The 14,662-nt window shown below is 44.5% G+C and overlaps 2 long non-coding RNA genes and 1 pseudogene across 3 annotated transcripts in view; 1 reads left to right on the top strand and 2 right to left on the bottom strand.

Annotated features, from left to right (window-relative positions):
* LOC105376107 (uncharacterized) overlaps positions 1-860 on the bottom strand; it is a 378,142-nt gene extending 377,282 nt beyond the window's left edge. The window contains exon 1 of the long non-coding RNA XR_002956914.2: positions 237-860. This is a non-coding gene — a long non-coding RNA (uncharacterized LOC105376107). The remainder of the gene's footprint in view (positions 1-236) is intronic.
* Positions 861-1,015: 155 nt separating this feature from the next.
* The window catches only part of LOC105376105 (uncharacterized), a 91,092-nt gene continuing 77,445 nt past the window's right edge, over positions 1,016-14,662 (top strand). For both annotated transcript variants that reach the window (NR_188610.1, NR_188611.1), the window contains exons 1-3: positions 1,016-1,497; positions 3,858-4,164; positions 10,417-10,569. This is a non-coding gene — a long non-coding RNA (uncharacterized LOC105376105). The remainder of the gene's footprint in view (positions 1,498-3,857; positions 4,165-10,416; positions 10,570-14,662) is intronic.
* On the bottom strand, positions 6,814-11,542 carry SPATA31D2P (SPATA31 subfamily D member 2, pseudogene; annotated as a pseudogene).

Raw genomic sequence — 14,662 nt, 5'->3', positions numbered from 1 at the left:
TGACCTCGTGATCTGCCCGTCTCGGCCTCCCAAAGTGCTGGGATTACAAAGGCATGAGCCACCGCGCCCGGCCTGTACTACTTTCTAAAAAGGGAAACAGTCACAAAAAGGACGCCCTCTCACCTGTTATGAGGGCAAACATAGTGATATTCCTGTCTTACAAGGAACACGGACACGTAGTAGGCTCTCAATAAATGCATGAATATATCAATATTTGTGTAATTAAAGACAGTTACCTGAGATTTTCTGTCCTGCAAAAGCCTGCAGTCCTCTCTGCTGGAGAGCCTCCTGTCTTGCTGTTCTGTATCTTGAAAGGCGTGACAAATGGCTGTGCTTCCACTCTCAGGAGTACACCTAATCTCTGTCCACTGGCACTGCGCCTTGGTAGACCTTTACCTGGGGTTCCCAGCCACGGTTCCTACCAGACACACTTCTGGCTCCCTCAGAGAAGGGGAAAAAGCACTTGTTGACGCCTCTGAAAAACAGCGTGTAGAGACAGCATCCTTCTTCCGGTTACTGATCCTACAGAGAGGGATGATGATCTCTTAATTTTGTGTGTGGACCAGCATTTTGACATCTTACACTGTCCTCCTGTCCAGCGCAGGCATTTATTTCCAAGGCACTGGCCTCTCTGGTGTCTGAAAAATCCCATGTTGTAACTGCATCAGGGCCCTTAGCCCATTCCTTAACTTCGGCCCTTAACTGAACAAAGTTCTTTACTTGTTCATTGCAGTACTCAGGGCCAACCCTACTAGCAGATATCAGTATCTCCTCAAAAATTACGTGAAATATGAGATTCAAAGCCAGGCAGCCAATGCAAAGCGAAGCCTTAATAGCGGTCAACATTGTTACTCTAATTATTATACCATCATCTCCCTCGAGTTCCATCGAGTATCCTTGGCAGGTGCAGCCCCGCGCCCAGGGCTCTGAGCGGTTTCCGAGGCCTCACGCGCTGGCGGGGCTGTTGAGATCGGTTGGGGGCTCCCAGGCCGCGAGGCGCGCTGCCAGTTGGGATGAAAATGGCGGATGAGGCCGGGCGCGGTGGCTCACGCCTGTGGTCCCAGCACTTTGGGAGGCCGAGGCGGGCGGATCACAAGGTCAGGAAATCGAGACCATCCTGGCGAACACTGTGAAACCCCGTCTCTTCTAAAAATACAAAAAAAAATTAGCCAGGCGTGGTGGCGGGCGCTTGTAGTCCCAGCTACTCAGGATGCTGAGGCAGGAGAATGGCGTGAACCCGGGAGGCGCAGCTTGCAGCGAGCCAAGATGGCGCCGCTGCACTCCAGCCTGGGCAGCAGAGCGAGACTCCATCTCAAAAAAAAAAAAAAAAAAAAAGAAAAGAAAAGAAACTGGCGGACAAAGGAAGAGATCCTCCTTCAGGCAGGGTAGGGAAGAAGGGCACTCGGTGACCAGAGACCTTTTCCAGGACCATGTCTTTGAAGCAAATCTCAGCTCTTGTCTTCCGGAAGCGATGGAGACAGAATCCAGAAGCCTGAGGTGAGATTTGTGGCCAACGCTGCCGCCTTTAGGAAGCCCAGCAGCGCTTCCTCGCAGGCCGGGTCTCTGGATGAAGCCTTGCCCCTGGCCGTGGCTCCACCCCCAGGCAAGGTTGGGCCCCAAAGGACGCTATACAAATTTGCTGTACAGATGCTGTAGTATGCCTCCTGTCTGAAATCTTTCCTATTGCTCTTTCATTCCTCCAGAAGTTTCTGAGCTATCTAATTACCAAGTGCAGGGCACAGAGCCGTGATGAGGGAGACATGATCTCAGTCTGGAAGACAGACTATTAAGCCAAATATTCCAAAACACTGTGGAGGGTGTTGTGAATTGGAAACCAAGGACGGATCACAGCTTGGGAGGATCAAGGCAGGTATCTGAGGGAAACCTCTTTAAGTATAATGGAAGGAAAGAGCAAAGTTATTTGATGGGAGTTCAAGGTGTTTGGGATATTTTTAAGTTTTATGATGAAAGGTTCCCATCTGTTGTCTTCTCATTCCTTTGTAATATATGTGGTCCAGCACATATGTTCAATGGGTGAGTGGGGTGGAGAAAATTAGGAAAGTGAAATTGTAATTTTGAGTAGAAAAGCAAAGAAATTTACTAAGAAAATAATAAGATAAACTCCACAAGACAGAGAGCTTTGCTTCCTCACTGGTGTGTCCCAAGTGCTTAGAAGACTGCCTAGCACAAAGTACTCACTGGAGGAATGAATGGATTATTTTCAGGCAGTGTTAGAAACTGGCCATTAGTTGTAGATAATAAATTAATGGTGGCACCAAACACTTAATTGTGTGATTTTATCCAAAAAGAATCAGCTTGTTTTTAGAAGACAGGTCTAGTAAAGGTAGCAAGTTGGATTTTCCCAGGCAGGAAAGATGAAAAGACACTGGGATAGGTTGTTTGGAGTAGACCATAAAGTCCAGATCTTAACCAGGTTTGTGGTTAAGTGTGGATCATGAAGTTTTTCTTGGAGAGGAAGGAAATTAAAAGGGTATTGGATTGACAAGGAGAAAGTTTAAAGTGGCTTGCAATTCCTGAATTGGTTGAAGAATTGGCATACTGAGGGCATAAGTGAGAAGGACAAAGGGTGGAATGTCAGACTGTATTTTTTCAAAAAGCAGAGATGTTCCTGGTAGTTCTAGGGTATGGCAGTAACTGAACTGGAATGAAGGTAAAGGGCTTTAAGATGACATCTATTCACCTGGATGTTGAGGCCTTCAACTGATTTCCTTCACATTGAGGGTTCCTTACCCTGAACCCCAATCCCAACTTTTTCCCCTCCCAAGGCTATCCACAGAATTACCATTCTTCCTGAACGTCTAAGCTTTGGTCAATGACATCACTCTGAACAAGAAGGAAGAAATGGAGCAGTAAGAGAGAGGGCTTTAGTAAATCCATCTTACTTTTGTCACCCAGAATTTACTCACCTTCTGGAAATATTTCCTCTATTGCCTTATGGGAAACTAAACCCAATTTCGATTTCAGTCTACGTGCAGGTGGAGTTGCCTTTCCCAACACTCCTATTTTGAGGATGGTATGTAACTCAGACTTGGCCAAAAAGATCATTCCACGTTTTTGGCAACAGTGATTGGTTAGGAATGGGCATGTGACCCGATTGGAGCCAGCAGGGTACTAATGGAACTTTTGAAGTAACTAGTGGGAGAGGCAACCTATTTTTATCTGCACTTGAAGCCTGGAGAATATAGCTATGAACTTGCCAGACACAAAGTCTTAATGAAGCCAACTCATAACACAGAGCAAAGACATGGATAGAAATGGAAGCTGAGGAAATTAATCGAGTTCCTATATGAACCCTCCTGCCTAGGGCCAGTCTTACTTCCAGACTTTTTGCCCCTAATTTCTTCTCTAAGTTTGAATACTGGCAGTGGTATTTCAGGTGGTTCTAAGGGATCTTTTCACTTTACCACACAATTTCTACCTTCATACCAACTTTCTCTTTTTCTTTGGATGCTACAACTTCTTTGATATTTGCGGGTTGTTTGTGTGTGTGTATGTGTGTTTTTTTTTAACTAGCCACCACTCCACACAGCTGTTAAACAACTTCCACCTTGATCATCTGGATATGGATCAGGATGATGACCTATTTGGCACCTTTGGCCACTTTGGCTTCAGTGAACTCAATGGGATGGCCAAAAAGAAACCCTTGTGTTAGGAAGTCTTCTAAGAAGTCTCCAGTGACTCTACCTCATGGTATTGACACACGTGTAATTATCCCTCCCCTTAAATGTGGGCTGGACATTCTGATTTGCTTCTAACCAGTAGAAAAAAGATACAGATGACGGGATATCATTTTCAATTTTAGTTTACAAAAGGTGTAACTTCTGTTTTGTTAGCAGACTCTCTCCTTTCCTGGCTTTGATGAAGCAAGCTGCCACACTGGAGAGGCCTACATGATAAGGACCTGAAGGTGGCCTCCAGCTAGCTCCAGCCAACAGTTGGCAAGGAATTGAGGACCTGAGTCCAATAGACCTTGAGGAACTGAATCCTGCAACAGCTACACAAGTGAGCATGGCAGTGTATCCTTCCCCAGTAAAGCCTTCAGATGAGACCCCAGCCCCAGCTGACACCTTGATTGAAGCCTTGTGAGAGACCCTGAAGCAGAGAAACCAGCTAGGCCTTGCCTGGATTCCTGATCCACAAACTGTAAGATAATAAATATATATTTTTAGGCCACTAAATTTTGAGGTATCTATTACACAGCAATACATATCTAACATACTTGTAAATCATCATAACCTTGGTGTAAGATGTAGTAGCATGGCTGGAAGGCAGGGACCAAGATCACCTTCTCCAAATAGGATGATATTGTGTCTGACAACATCCCTGCAAATATTGTCTTTATGCTCAAAGATCATCCCTCATACTCTTATACTGAAGTGGCATCACTGTGCTCTAAATATCGCTTATTAGACTCTAGGAAGTGAGGCCTAGGTAAAGGAGTGTTGGGTGCAGTGGATGCCAGGATGGAGTTATGAGCAGGGATGATGAGGTTATACTTTTCCCTCTTCTCTTTTTTTCCTTGCCCACTCACTCTCCCATTACATTTTTCTTGGTCTCTGTCTCCTTTTTTCCCAAGTTCTGAGTAACTGCCTGGTGACCATTCCTACAAGTCATTGCCAGGCAATCTCTTGGTCTTGTAAGAGTGCTATCAAGCCATGCATCTTGAAGAGATTCCCTAGAGAAGGGAGTCTTCTCTTTCCTCAAGATAACCTCATAAGCAAAGAGACCTTATGGTCAACTTCAAAATGTTCTTTTTAGACACAGTAACATGCCACATATAACAGATTTTTCAGCAGGACCCACACTGCCTGGACCATACCTCAGCCAAATAAGTGTCCACAATAGCAAAATCCACCCATTCATGCCTCATACAATGACCACTCACCTGTCTGATGCTCTGGAGTCAGTAGCTTTTTAAAAATGAAAGTAAACCACTATTTTCAGAAAATTATTTTTATTCCTGGCCTCTTTCAGAGATGCATTTTCTATCCCCACTACTGCTCCAAAAAGGGTACAGAAAGGGAAAAGATGTACTACTACCCATTTTCCATTTTCATTAGGGTAAGGTAGGAGGTGGGGAACATGGCACATTGCCCCAAACTTCATGAGGGAGAGAAGGGCTGCCTCTTGGGAGGAATATTTATTCCTCACCAAGAGATCCAAGAAAAAGATTTCTCCATGTCACTGATTTTAGGGTCTAAAACCCCCCACATTTCCAACTCTAAAACTTCCTAAAGGCCGGGCACAGTGGCTCATGCCTGTAATCCCAGCATTTTGGGAGGCTGAGGTGGGCGGATCACCTGAGGTCAGGAGTTCGAGACCAGCCTGACCAACATGGAGAAACCCTGTTTCTACTAAAAATATGCAATTAGCCAGGTGTGGTGGCACATGCCTGTATTCCCAGCTACTCGGGAGGCTGAGGCAGGAGAATCGCTTGAACCCAGGAGGCAGAGGTTGCAGTGAGCCGAGATCATGCCATTGCACTCCAGCCTGGGCAACAAGAGCAAAACTCGAAAAAGGAAGGGAAGGGAAGGGTAGGGTAGGGTAGGGTACGGTAGGGTAGGGGGAACTTCCTGAAAGGTTTTAGAGTAAACTTTTTGTACTTTTATGAAATAATAGTGTTTTAATTACAGGACATCTGAAAAGTGTCAAAAGATCCTAGGATAAGACTGAGGAGGCCATTATCAGGCTCCCTACAAGGGACTGGTCATCTTTTAGAAGCCAAAAGAGAAAAATAGTAAGACCTAAACTAATTCCTTCCTTTCCCTGAGCACAAGCTCTGGAATACCCAAAATCCACACCTCCAGAGCAGTACATGGAGAACACCACTCTATATTAAAAGAAACATTTATTGGGGAGGGTCAATATTCTTGGTTATGCTAAAAAGAGATTGCTCTCATCAGAGGATATACTATCATGAAAACTGAGAGGCTCTACAAGAACTGGATTATTCTTTGTGGAAAATTTTTCCTTCCTGTAAGTGCTGGAGAAGCATTTTCTGTTTGCAAAGAAGGGCCAAATCTCTGAACACAGTGCCTTAAGCTGGTTTAATGTCAGCCAGGGGCACCTGGCATACTTGCATGCAGATGGGGCTTGGATGGGACACAGGCTCACTAGAGGGCAGCAGGGGGGGGGGATTACTCTGGCATAATAGCTGCTCTTTAAATGTCACAACTTTCTGAGGATGACTAATCCTAGTCCTGATCCATCTAACACTTGAAAGATAACTTGGGCCATCAGAGACAGCTTCTTGGTTATAAGGGTTGGTACTTGACTCTTCCCCTTGCCACTGTTCAGAGGGAAGCCCATAGTTGGAGGGTTGTCTGTTGTCAGGCTCTGCCTGAGTCTGTGGCTCTTCTTTGGCTGACTTAATTCCAAGTCCTCAGGTTCCTGCCTACATGCCAGTTTCTCCTCTAGTATCTTCCCAATGGCTGTCATGAGCTCAAGAGCTTCACGAGTCCTCATAAAGACAGGTCTACCTTCAACTAGGTCTTGGTGCTGTAGAAAGGCTGGCATTAACTTGTCTTTTTGCATGGGACTTTCTTGCCCATTGCTTTTTCTCTTGAAATCAATCCACTGAAGAAAATGCCTCATCTTTTTTCCAAAGTAACTTTCAAGACAAAATGGTTCTTTCTGTGACAGAGACATTGAAGTCTCCTCTAATTTCCTGTCCTTGCCAAGATGGCTCTTCCTTGTGGCTTTGGATGTTCCTAATCCCAAGTCCTCGCTCCCACATTCTCTTGCTTTGGGTCCCAAAAGGCTCTTGCTTTGGGTCCCCTCTTGGCTAATGGGAAATTCTTATCCTGGCACTCCCATAAGACGTACTTAGAGACTTGGGGCTCTTGCAACTGCTTCATGCTGATCCGTCATCATCCGGGTGTATATGCTGTACCTGGGAAGCTGCCCTATCCTCACTGGAGACATTCAGGGAGTGAGCCAGTGAGGAATCAGAAATCAAGCTATCTGAAGTAAAGAACATGTCGCGGGGACAGCCTTGAGCCTGACTATGTTCCCCACTCTCCAATTTAAACTTTAACTCACCAGCTGTCCTTTAAAGTCTGATGATTTAGGATCTTCAGCAATCAATATTCTTGGTGGGGAGTATTTGGTGGTCAGAGTAGTTTCTTCTTTACTTGTATTCGTGTTCATCACTGAGGAGCTTCCCAACTCACTGGTTGTCAAGATATGATTAGATTGTGATTGAAAAGCACAGAGCTCCTCTATCTCCCTGGACACGTTGGACATAGAAAAATGTTCTGAAGTCTCTGCTACCATTTTGTTTGCCCTGAAGCCTTTCTACACTATTGCTGGGACTCACTTTCTCATTCCTTGATTCATCTCTACCCCCGTCTTGCCTTGTGGACAGCTCTGAGCTGTGTCTGTTGGCTAGTACAGTCTCATTCTGATTCTCTTTGTCTATGATGCTGTGTGTAGAGGGCAGAAAAGTCTATCTGCCATTCTCAATTGTCTGGGCATTCTCTGTAAGTTTATGGCGAGTAGCAGAGGGTGATTGTCTCAAGGCTCCCTGTCCTGTGTTTACAGATGAAGTGGCAGGTAGAGGACAATCCAAGCTGGGAACTGGATTTGTCATTTCTAACTTGTCTCCCTGAAAAGCATTAGAGCATCCCTCGAGAGACCTTGAAACCATACCTTTAGAAACCATCCTAGAAATATAGGTGGCAGACAAAGGAAAGTTAAGCTGGGGAAGAGGCCATGTTTTGGCTTTTCTCAACATATAGAATTTTATGGATTCAAGAACCTTGAAGGGTAGAGCCCCCCTCTGATTTACCCTAACCCTCATCATATGAGCCTCCAACACCTGATGGGTTTTGGAATCAAGAAAGGAAAGCTCCAGAGTGGTAATCTTGCAGTACACCCTGCCCACCAGTGGTGCCACATTTCTGTTTTCCTTATTGGTATGGGAACTCCCACAAGGAGGCAAGGTATTGTTAGCCAGCCATGAATGACATACTCTGATAGGAATCCTATCCAAAGTGACCTGCCAAAACTTCCTGCTCAAATGTAATCTAAGAATGGTTTTCACTTGATTCTGGTCTATGTTCCTCCTTGATAAACTTAGTAATTCATTCCTTGAGTTATCTACCCAGTTACTTTTTCTGTCAGAGACAGCCCTCAAACCCTTCACCAGGTAGTTTTCTGAGACCATTGGTGGGTTGTGTAATGAACACTTCGCTAAGATATACCCAAGATTCTTTGCCATGTCATTTCATAGCTGAAACTTTGTTGGGACCTCTCATGGAAACTTCCTGGGAGATTCAATTCTGTCTTCCCTAGATTTTTGCTACTGTGACCCTGAAGTTCAAGGGGTTGTGAGTGAGTATGTCTGCAATTCTGCTAAGATATTTCTGTTGATTTGCACCAAGTCTTCATCAGTGCTAGATATCCTAGATTCCTGCAGGTATGGAGGCACCAGTGTAAGACTGGCCTCTTTGGAACATGGAGCTCCAATTTCTCTTGGGGATCATTTCTGATATGAAAATAACCAGGAAAGGTGGAGACTGGAACATAGGCCTGGAAGGACTGGCTGACCAATGGAAGGTTGGGAGCTGGAGGATGAAGGGCTTCTTAAGATTTTTGGAGCAAAGGGACTAAACCCTTCAAACCTTCCTGTTGTTTCTGCAACACATGGCATTCCAGATGTTGATTTGAGGTGTAAGAGTCAGCCTCATTCTGGAGTATATGGGAAGATATTCCACAGTCCTTAACCTGGGATGGAGAAGGTGATGGTAGGGTAGGGAGTGAGGAGTGAAGGTGAGCCTGGGAATGGACCTGAGTGATAGGTAGGATCTGGGGTTGGTGGTTGGTTTGAGGAAAGGATTGGGGATGTATAGGGGTGAGGGGATAATGGTGGAACTGAGGAAGTGGTAGAGATTCTTGATCATGCATTTGGACTGTATTGAATACAATAAAGCAACACACTAGTGGGGAGCTGCTCCTAGACACCAGGAGAGTAGCCACTGAGGACTCACTATGCAGAGAGGGAAGACCCTAGAAGAGCTAGCTATATTTCTGTTGCAAATTTCCCCCCAAAGTTTTGACATACAGGAGCTGCTGACAAACCTGCAGCTGCTCTGCTGTGCCTTTGGTGTTCCAGCTGCTTTGGGGGGCTGTGGTGTCCTGCTCATCAACAAGTGACTGCAATAGAATTCCTGAAGATGTCAGTTGGTATTCTGGCCACATTTATTTTGAAAATAATCCCTTCTCCTTTTCTTTCTTCTCCAAAATCTGGAAAGCCATTCTTTTTTTTATTTGTTTTTCCAAGAGTGCCTGTATCTTAAGGCCAAAAACGAATATCTACTGGCCTCCAAGTGCTTGGTATCAGAGTCTCCCCAGAGACAGGTCTCTGGTGAAGGAAGGGAAACATGCTCCCGCTGAAAATAAGGATATGGTAATCTGGGGAGGAACATGTTCCTGACGTAAGGCTGCCACCATGAGAATTCTGAGTTGGAATGGTCCATGCCTCTGATTGTCGGAACATAAGTGGACAACCAAATAGGACTTTCCATAGAGGATATCTCTGAAACAGGTTTCAATAAGATGGAACTTGATTTAGACTGAGTCACAGTTCAGTCTTGTGGCGGTGAAGCAGACAGGGTTAGTGGTGTATGATCACAATCACGTAAATCAGTGGGATTCATTGCCTGGGAAACATCTGATAAGGGGTTGATATCTTGGGAAAGGGTGGGGTCAAGGGTGGGGTTCAGAGACAGAGAGGCCTTGGGTTGGAAATCAGTATCTGCCTTCTGAGTGTGTTGTGGTGGGAGAGGGGGAAAAGCAAGCTGTTGGTATGGGAAATGGTCCACAGAGAATTTGGAATCCAAGGGAGGAACAGGCTGTGGTGGCAGACGGTCACTCAGCGGTGAGGGTGAAAATGAGTCAGCTAAGGGGATATTCAGGTCAGGTGAGAGAATGGAGCACGGCAGTGGAGAAGGCTCAGGCAGAGGAGCCAGTATTAGATCTTCTGGAAGGGTTGCTGGAAGGGCAGAGATCAAAGTGAATGATGACTTGGTCACAAAAGCTGTGGAAGCCAAAGGGGACGCAGAGGGAGCAGCATCTTCTGGGGACTCCTGGAACAGCAGTCACTTGACCTCAGCACTTGCTCTATTACTCACCTCACAGAGGGGGTCTGGACATAATAGTTGCCGAAAATGGATGGTATTGTAATGCTGGCCCAGAGGACTACAGGAGACGAGGTACAAAGCTGCAGCCAAACATATGTGACCTTGACAGGTCTTGCAAAGCTAAGGCCTCACAATGCGTGCTGTCTTTTCATATGACCCCCTCCGCTTTCCTTATCTCACAGTATATCTTTTACCCCTTTCCCTATGGCTCTTACATTCTGACACTGGATTTTTCCTCCCATTTCAACCCCAGGCTTTTGTGATGCCCTATAATTACATGAACTCTACTAAAAAGAGGGATACTGGAAAGAAGAATAATGTTGAGACACCTTTGCAGAAGAAAAAACAACTTCCTCTCTTCCTCTACTTCACTCTGGCAAGTTCTCCAACCTGACAAGCCAGTAGGGTGAGTAACAGGATAGTGATGAAGTTAGAAGCAAAGAGATCTTATAGGAGCCTGAGTAGAATGCCCCTTAGGGGTGCCCTTAGTTGATTGGTCTTGAAGAACCTCAAGGATCTGTAGAAAAGCTCAAATTGTCATTGATAATATTAACATGGTTCACATATGTAAGTGGCTTCATTTATAAAGTCCTTTTACATACAGTATTCCATGTGATGCTCAAAACCATCACATGGGGCCAGGTGTGGTGGCTTATGCCTGTAATCCCAGCACTTTGGGAGGCCAGGGCGGGAGGATCACAAGGTCAGGAGATTGAGACCATCCTGGCTAACATGGTGAAACCCCATTTCTACTAAAAATACAAAAAATTAGCCAGGCATGGTGGCCAGCGCCTGTAGTCCCAGGTACTCAAAAGTTGAGGCAAGAGAATGGCGTGAACCCGGGAGGTGGAGCTTGCAGTGAGTGGAGATCGCACCACTGCACTCCAGCCTGGGCAGCAGAGCAAGACTCTGTCTCAAATAAAATAAAATAAAATAAAAATAATAAAAATAAATCACATGAAGTACGGATGTCAGTGGTTATCTCAAAGAGGAGGAAGTCAAAGTACTTATACAAAGTGGAGAGGCAGAAGTTGTGACTCCAAACCAACCAACCAGTAGTCCTTCCACAATAGATCTCACATGGCCACCTATTGGGCAGCACCTATTGTCCAGGTTCATCACTCTTTCATGTGCATGGATGGGCAGAGCAGGGACTCCCAGAGGTGTCTCAGGTCTGATTGCTTTCCCGTGAGCCTCTCCTGTGAGGACTGTTTTCTAAGAGAGACTGTATCTAGTAACTGACATCCTCAGAAATTGGGAACCTGAGACCTCATGGAAGAGACAGGAAGGGTCATCCTTGGCGAGCTGAAGTTGAATGGGCAGAACCTTACCTTTAAATGTCCCATTTTTCTTTCTCCTCTTGGCTCTGCCTTGATGCTAAGAACAAAAAGAAAATAATGCGAGGCCAGAAATCACTTCTCTCACTCGTCTAGGAAGCTCAGACCTTCATTATACGAGAATAATATGACTCTCTATCTTAATTAATAAAAATGTGTTTCTTCCGGCCGGGCGCGATGGCTCACCCCTGTAATCCCAGCACTTTGGGAGGCCGAGACGGGCGGATCACGAAGTCAGGAGATCAATACCATCCTGGATAACATGGTGAAACCCTGTCTCTACTAAAAATACAAAAAATTAGCCAGGCGTGGTGGCGGGCGCCTGTAGTCCCAGCTACTCAGGAGGCTGAGGCAGGAGAATGGCGTGAACCCAGGAGGTGGAGCTTGCAGTGAGCCGAGATGGCGCCTCTGAACTCCAGCCTGGGCGACAGAGCAAGACTCCGTCTCAAAAAAAAAAAAGAAAAGAAAAGAAATGTGTTTCTTCCAGGTGTGATGGCGGAAGCCTGTAATCCCAGTTACTCAGGAATCTGAGGCATGAGAATTTTTTGAACCCGGGAGGCGGAGACTGCAGTGAGCCAAGTCATGCCACTGCACTCTAGCCTAGGCAATAGAGCGAGACTCAGTATCAAAAAAAAAAACAAAAAAACAAACAAAAAAAACGCTTCTTTTTTCAAGTTTTAAAGGTGATAAAATATTTCCAATTTTTCCCTTTGAAAAATTCAAAGGACAGTTTTGTCTGTGAGAGCTGCACTTGATGTTCTCAGTTAGCAGTCCTCAGTTCAAGGAAGGCACAGATTCAGAGGCCAACAGTCACATCTTGCTCCCTCACAGAACCTGTGTCCTGGAAACAGCACTCCAGCTCCAGCTTCTGCTCAGGGGCCCTCAGCATTGCCCTCCTCGTCAGCCCAACATGAAGGAAGGTTTGGTCGAGTGACACGTGACATGGAAATATTACTCATGATCAAGTGTCAGGAGAAACTGTTCTTTTGAGAGCCCAGTCTCTAAATAATTTAATCCAGGACCACAGAATTACTGTGTTTGGGATTTTATCCTGGAATTCTCCATTACAGCCAGATAGGTAGTCTGTGAGCTTCAGATGGAAACCTTAGTCCTCCTGAACCCCTGCCCTGTCTGACATCTTCCCTTAGAAGAGTGATGTTCTAGCCTCTCCTCAGACTTCCCATGTCAAGTGTCTCTCTAAGCCAACCAAACTCATTTATAAATTTGGGAAGAAGAACAGGAAAATAAGGAATCATTTTCTGAGGGGATACTTCTGGTTCCAGCTCTGACATTCAAAAAACTTACCACTCCCATCTTTGGAAGCAAAAAGCTGAACAAACTGAAAATAACTATTCTTGGAGCCACTGGGGAATTGAGGTTGTAGGGCAAACCCTCCTAAAATCCTCAGAAAGATGAATAAAGAGAATCATAATTGAGATCAGCTTACCTGGAGCAGAAGCCACTGAAGCCATAAACTGGTAGGAACATTTAAATGGACACTTTGACAAATTGCTGGAGGATGTTTGTGAACTAGTATGAGAGTGAGAAAATTCCTGGGGTCACAGTCTTAGGGACTCCCCTGCATTTTCATGGGTTTTACCCCTGGGAAACCCATCAGGTTCTCACAATGAATAGCAATGAGAAAACTCTCATGCTTCTGGCAGGGACAAGGGAAAGTTTACCATTTTCAAATATACTGAGTGTTCTTCATAATAGAGGCCTACTCATTAGGGAAAAAGGCTACCAGAGCATGATCCCACATGAGGAAAGGGAAGTTACCCAACTCCAGCCCTCTCTAGCCTTCGTGTCTCACCTAAGAGGTGGGGGAGAAAAGGCTTGGAAACACTTGTGAACATCACAACCCAGGGACACAGGACTAAAAGACTGACGTTTAATTGCATCACCTCCTACATACCTTACACCACATTAACAGAGCTCCAGTATAGTAACAGGGGATGACGGCACAAAGAGCTACAAGGTGTAGACTCTGTTTAAGAAGGTAATCTTAGGGAAAGCTAATGATACCAGAGGAGACAAAAACAAGGAAACTGGAGAAAATTCAGGAGGCTCTGTCATATACTACAACAGCAAACACTTAACACAGCTCAAGTACTAGCCACATTAACATAAATCCTAGCACTAATAGCCTGTTTACCTCATTTCCTATTACCCAATACATTGGGTCTGGCTTTCAACTAAAAATCACAAGGCATGCCAAAAGGCAAGGAAAAAATTCTAAATAAACAAAGTAAGCATCAGTTCTGCACTCACATATGGCACCAATTTAGGATTTATCATACGTGGAATAGAAAAAACTATGATTATTAAGCGTTCTAATGGAAGAAGTAGGCAACATGCAAGAACAGATGACGACTGTAAATAAAGAGATGGAAACTCTAAGAATCAAAAAGGAATGTTAGAAATAAAAAAAATCACAATGGACATGAAGAATGCCTTTGATGGGCCATCGGGGTGACAGAGTGAGACTCTGTCTCAAAAAAAATATATATATATACAGCTGGGCATGTCATACTCAAACTGCAGAAAACTCAGTGAAAAAGATCTTGAAAGAATCCAGAGGGGTAAAAAACACCTTACCTATAAAGGAACAAGAATAAAAATTTTGGATTTCTCATGATAAACAATGCAAGGAAGAAGAATAGAGTAAAATATTTAAAGTGTTGCTAGAAGCCTAGAAGCCCACCCCCTTTACCCCACACCCCACCCCCAGAATTCTGTATCCAGCAAAATTATCTTTCAAAGGTGAAGAAGAAGTAAAAACTTTCCCTGGCCAAAACAAACAAGCAAACAAACAAAACAGGAGGAATTAATTACCAGCAAATCTGCCCTACAAGAAATTTAAAGGTAGCTCTTCAGAGAGAAGGAAAATGATCACTCAGATCTATCTATCTATCTATCATCTATCTATCTATCTATCTATCTATCTATCTATCTATTTTTTTAAAAAAAAGATAGGACACCAACAAAGGAATAAATGAAGGTAAAATAAAACTTTCATTGTTCTTATTCTTAATTGCCATAATAAGAACGACACCAAAAACAACATTTTTGTGATTATAGTATCATGGATGAGTAAAATGAATGACAATAATGTTATAAGTGAGAGGAAGAAAGAATTGGAAGCATTTTATTATAAGGTAC

Source organism: Homo sapiens, chromosome 9 (genome assembly GCF_000001405.40).
Source record: "Homo sapiens chromosome 9, GRCh38.p14 Primary Assembly".
Lineage (NCBI taxonomy): Eukaryota > Metazoa > Chordata > Mammalia > Primates > Hominidae > Homo > Homo sapiens.
This window is presented reverse-complemented; position numbering and strand designations above follow the sequence as displayed.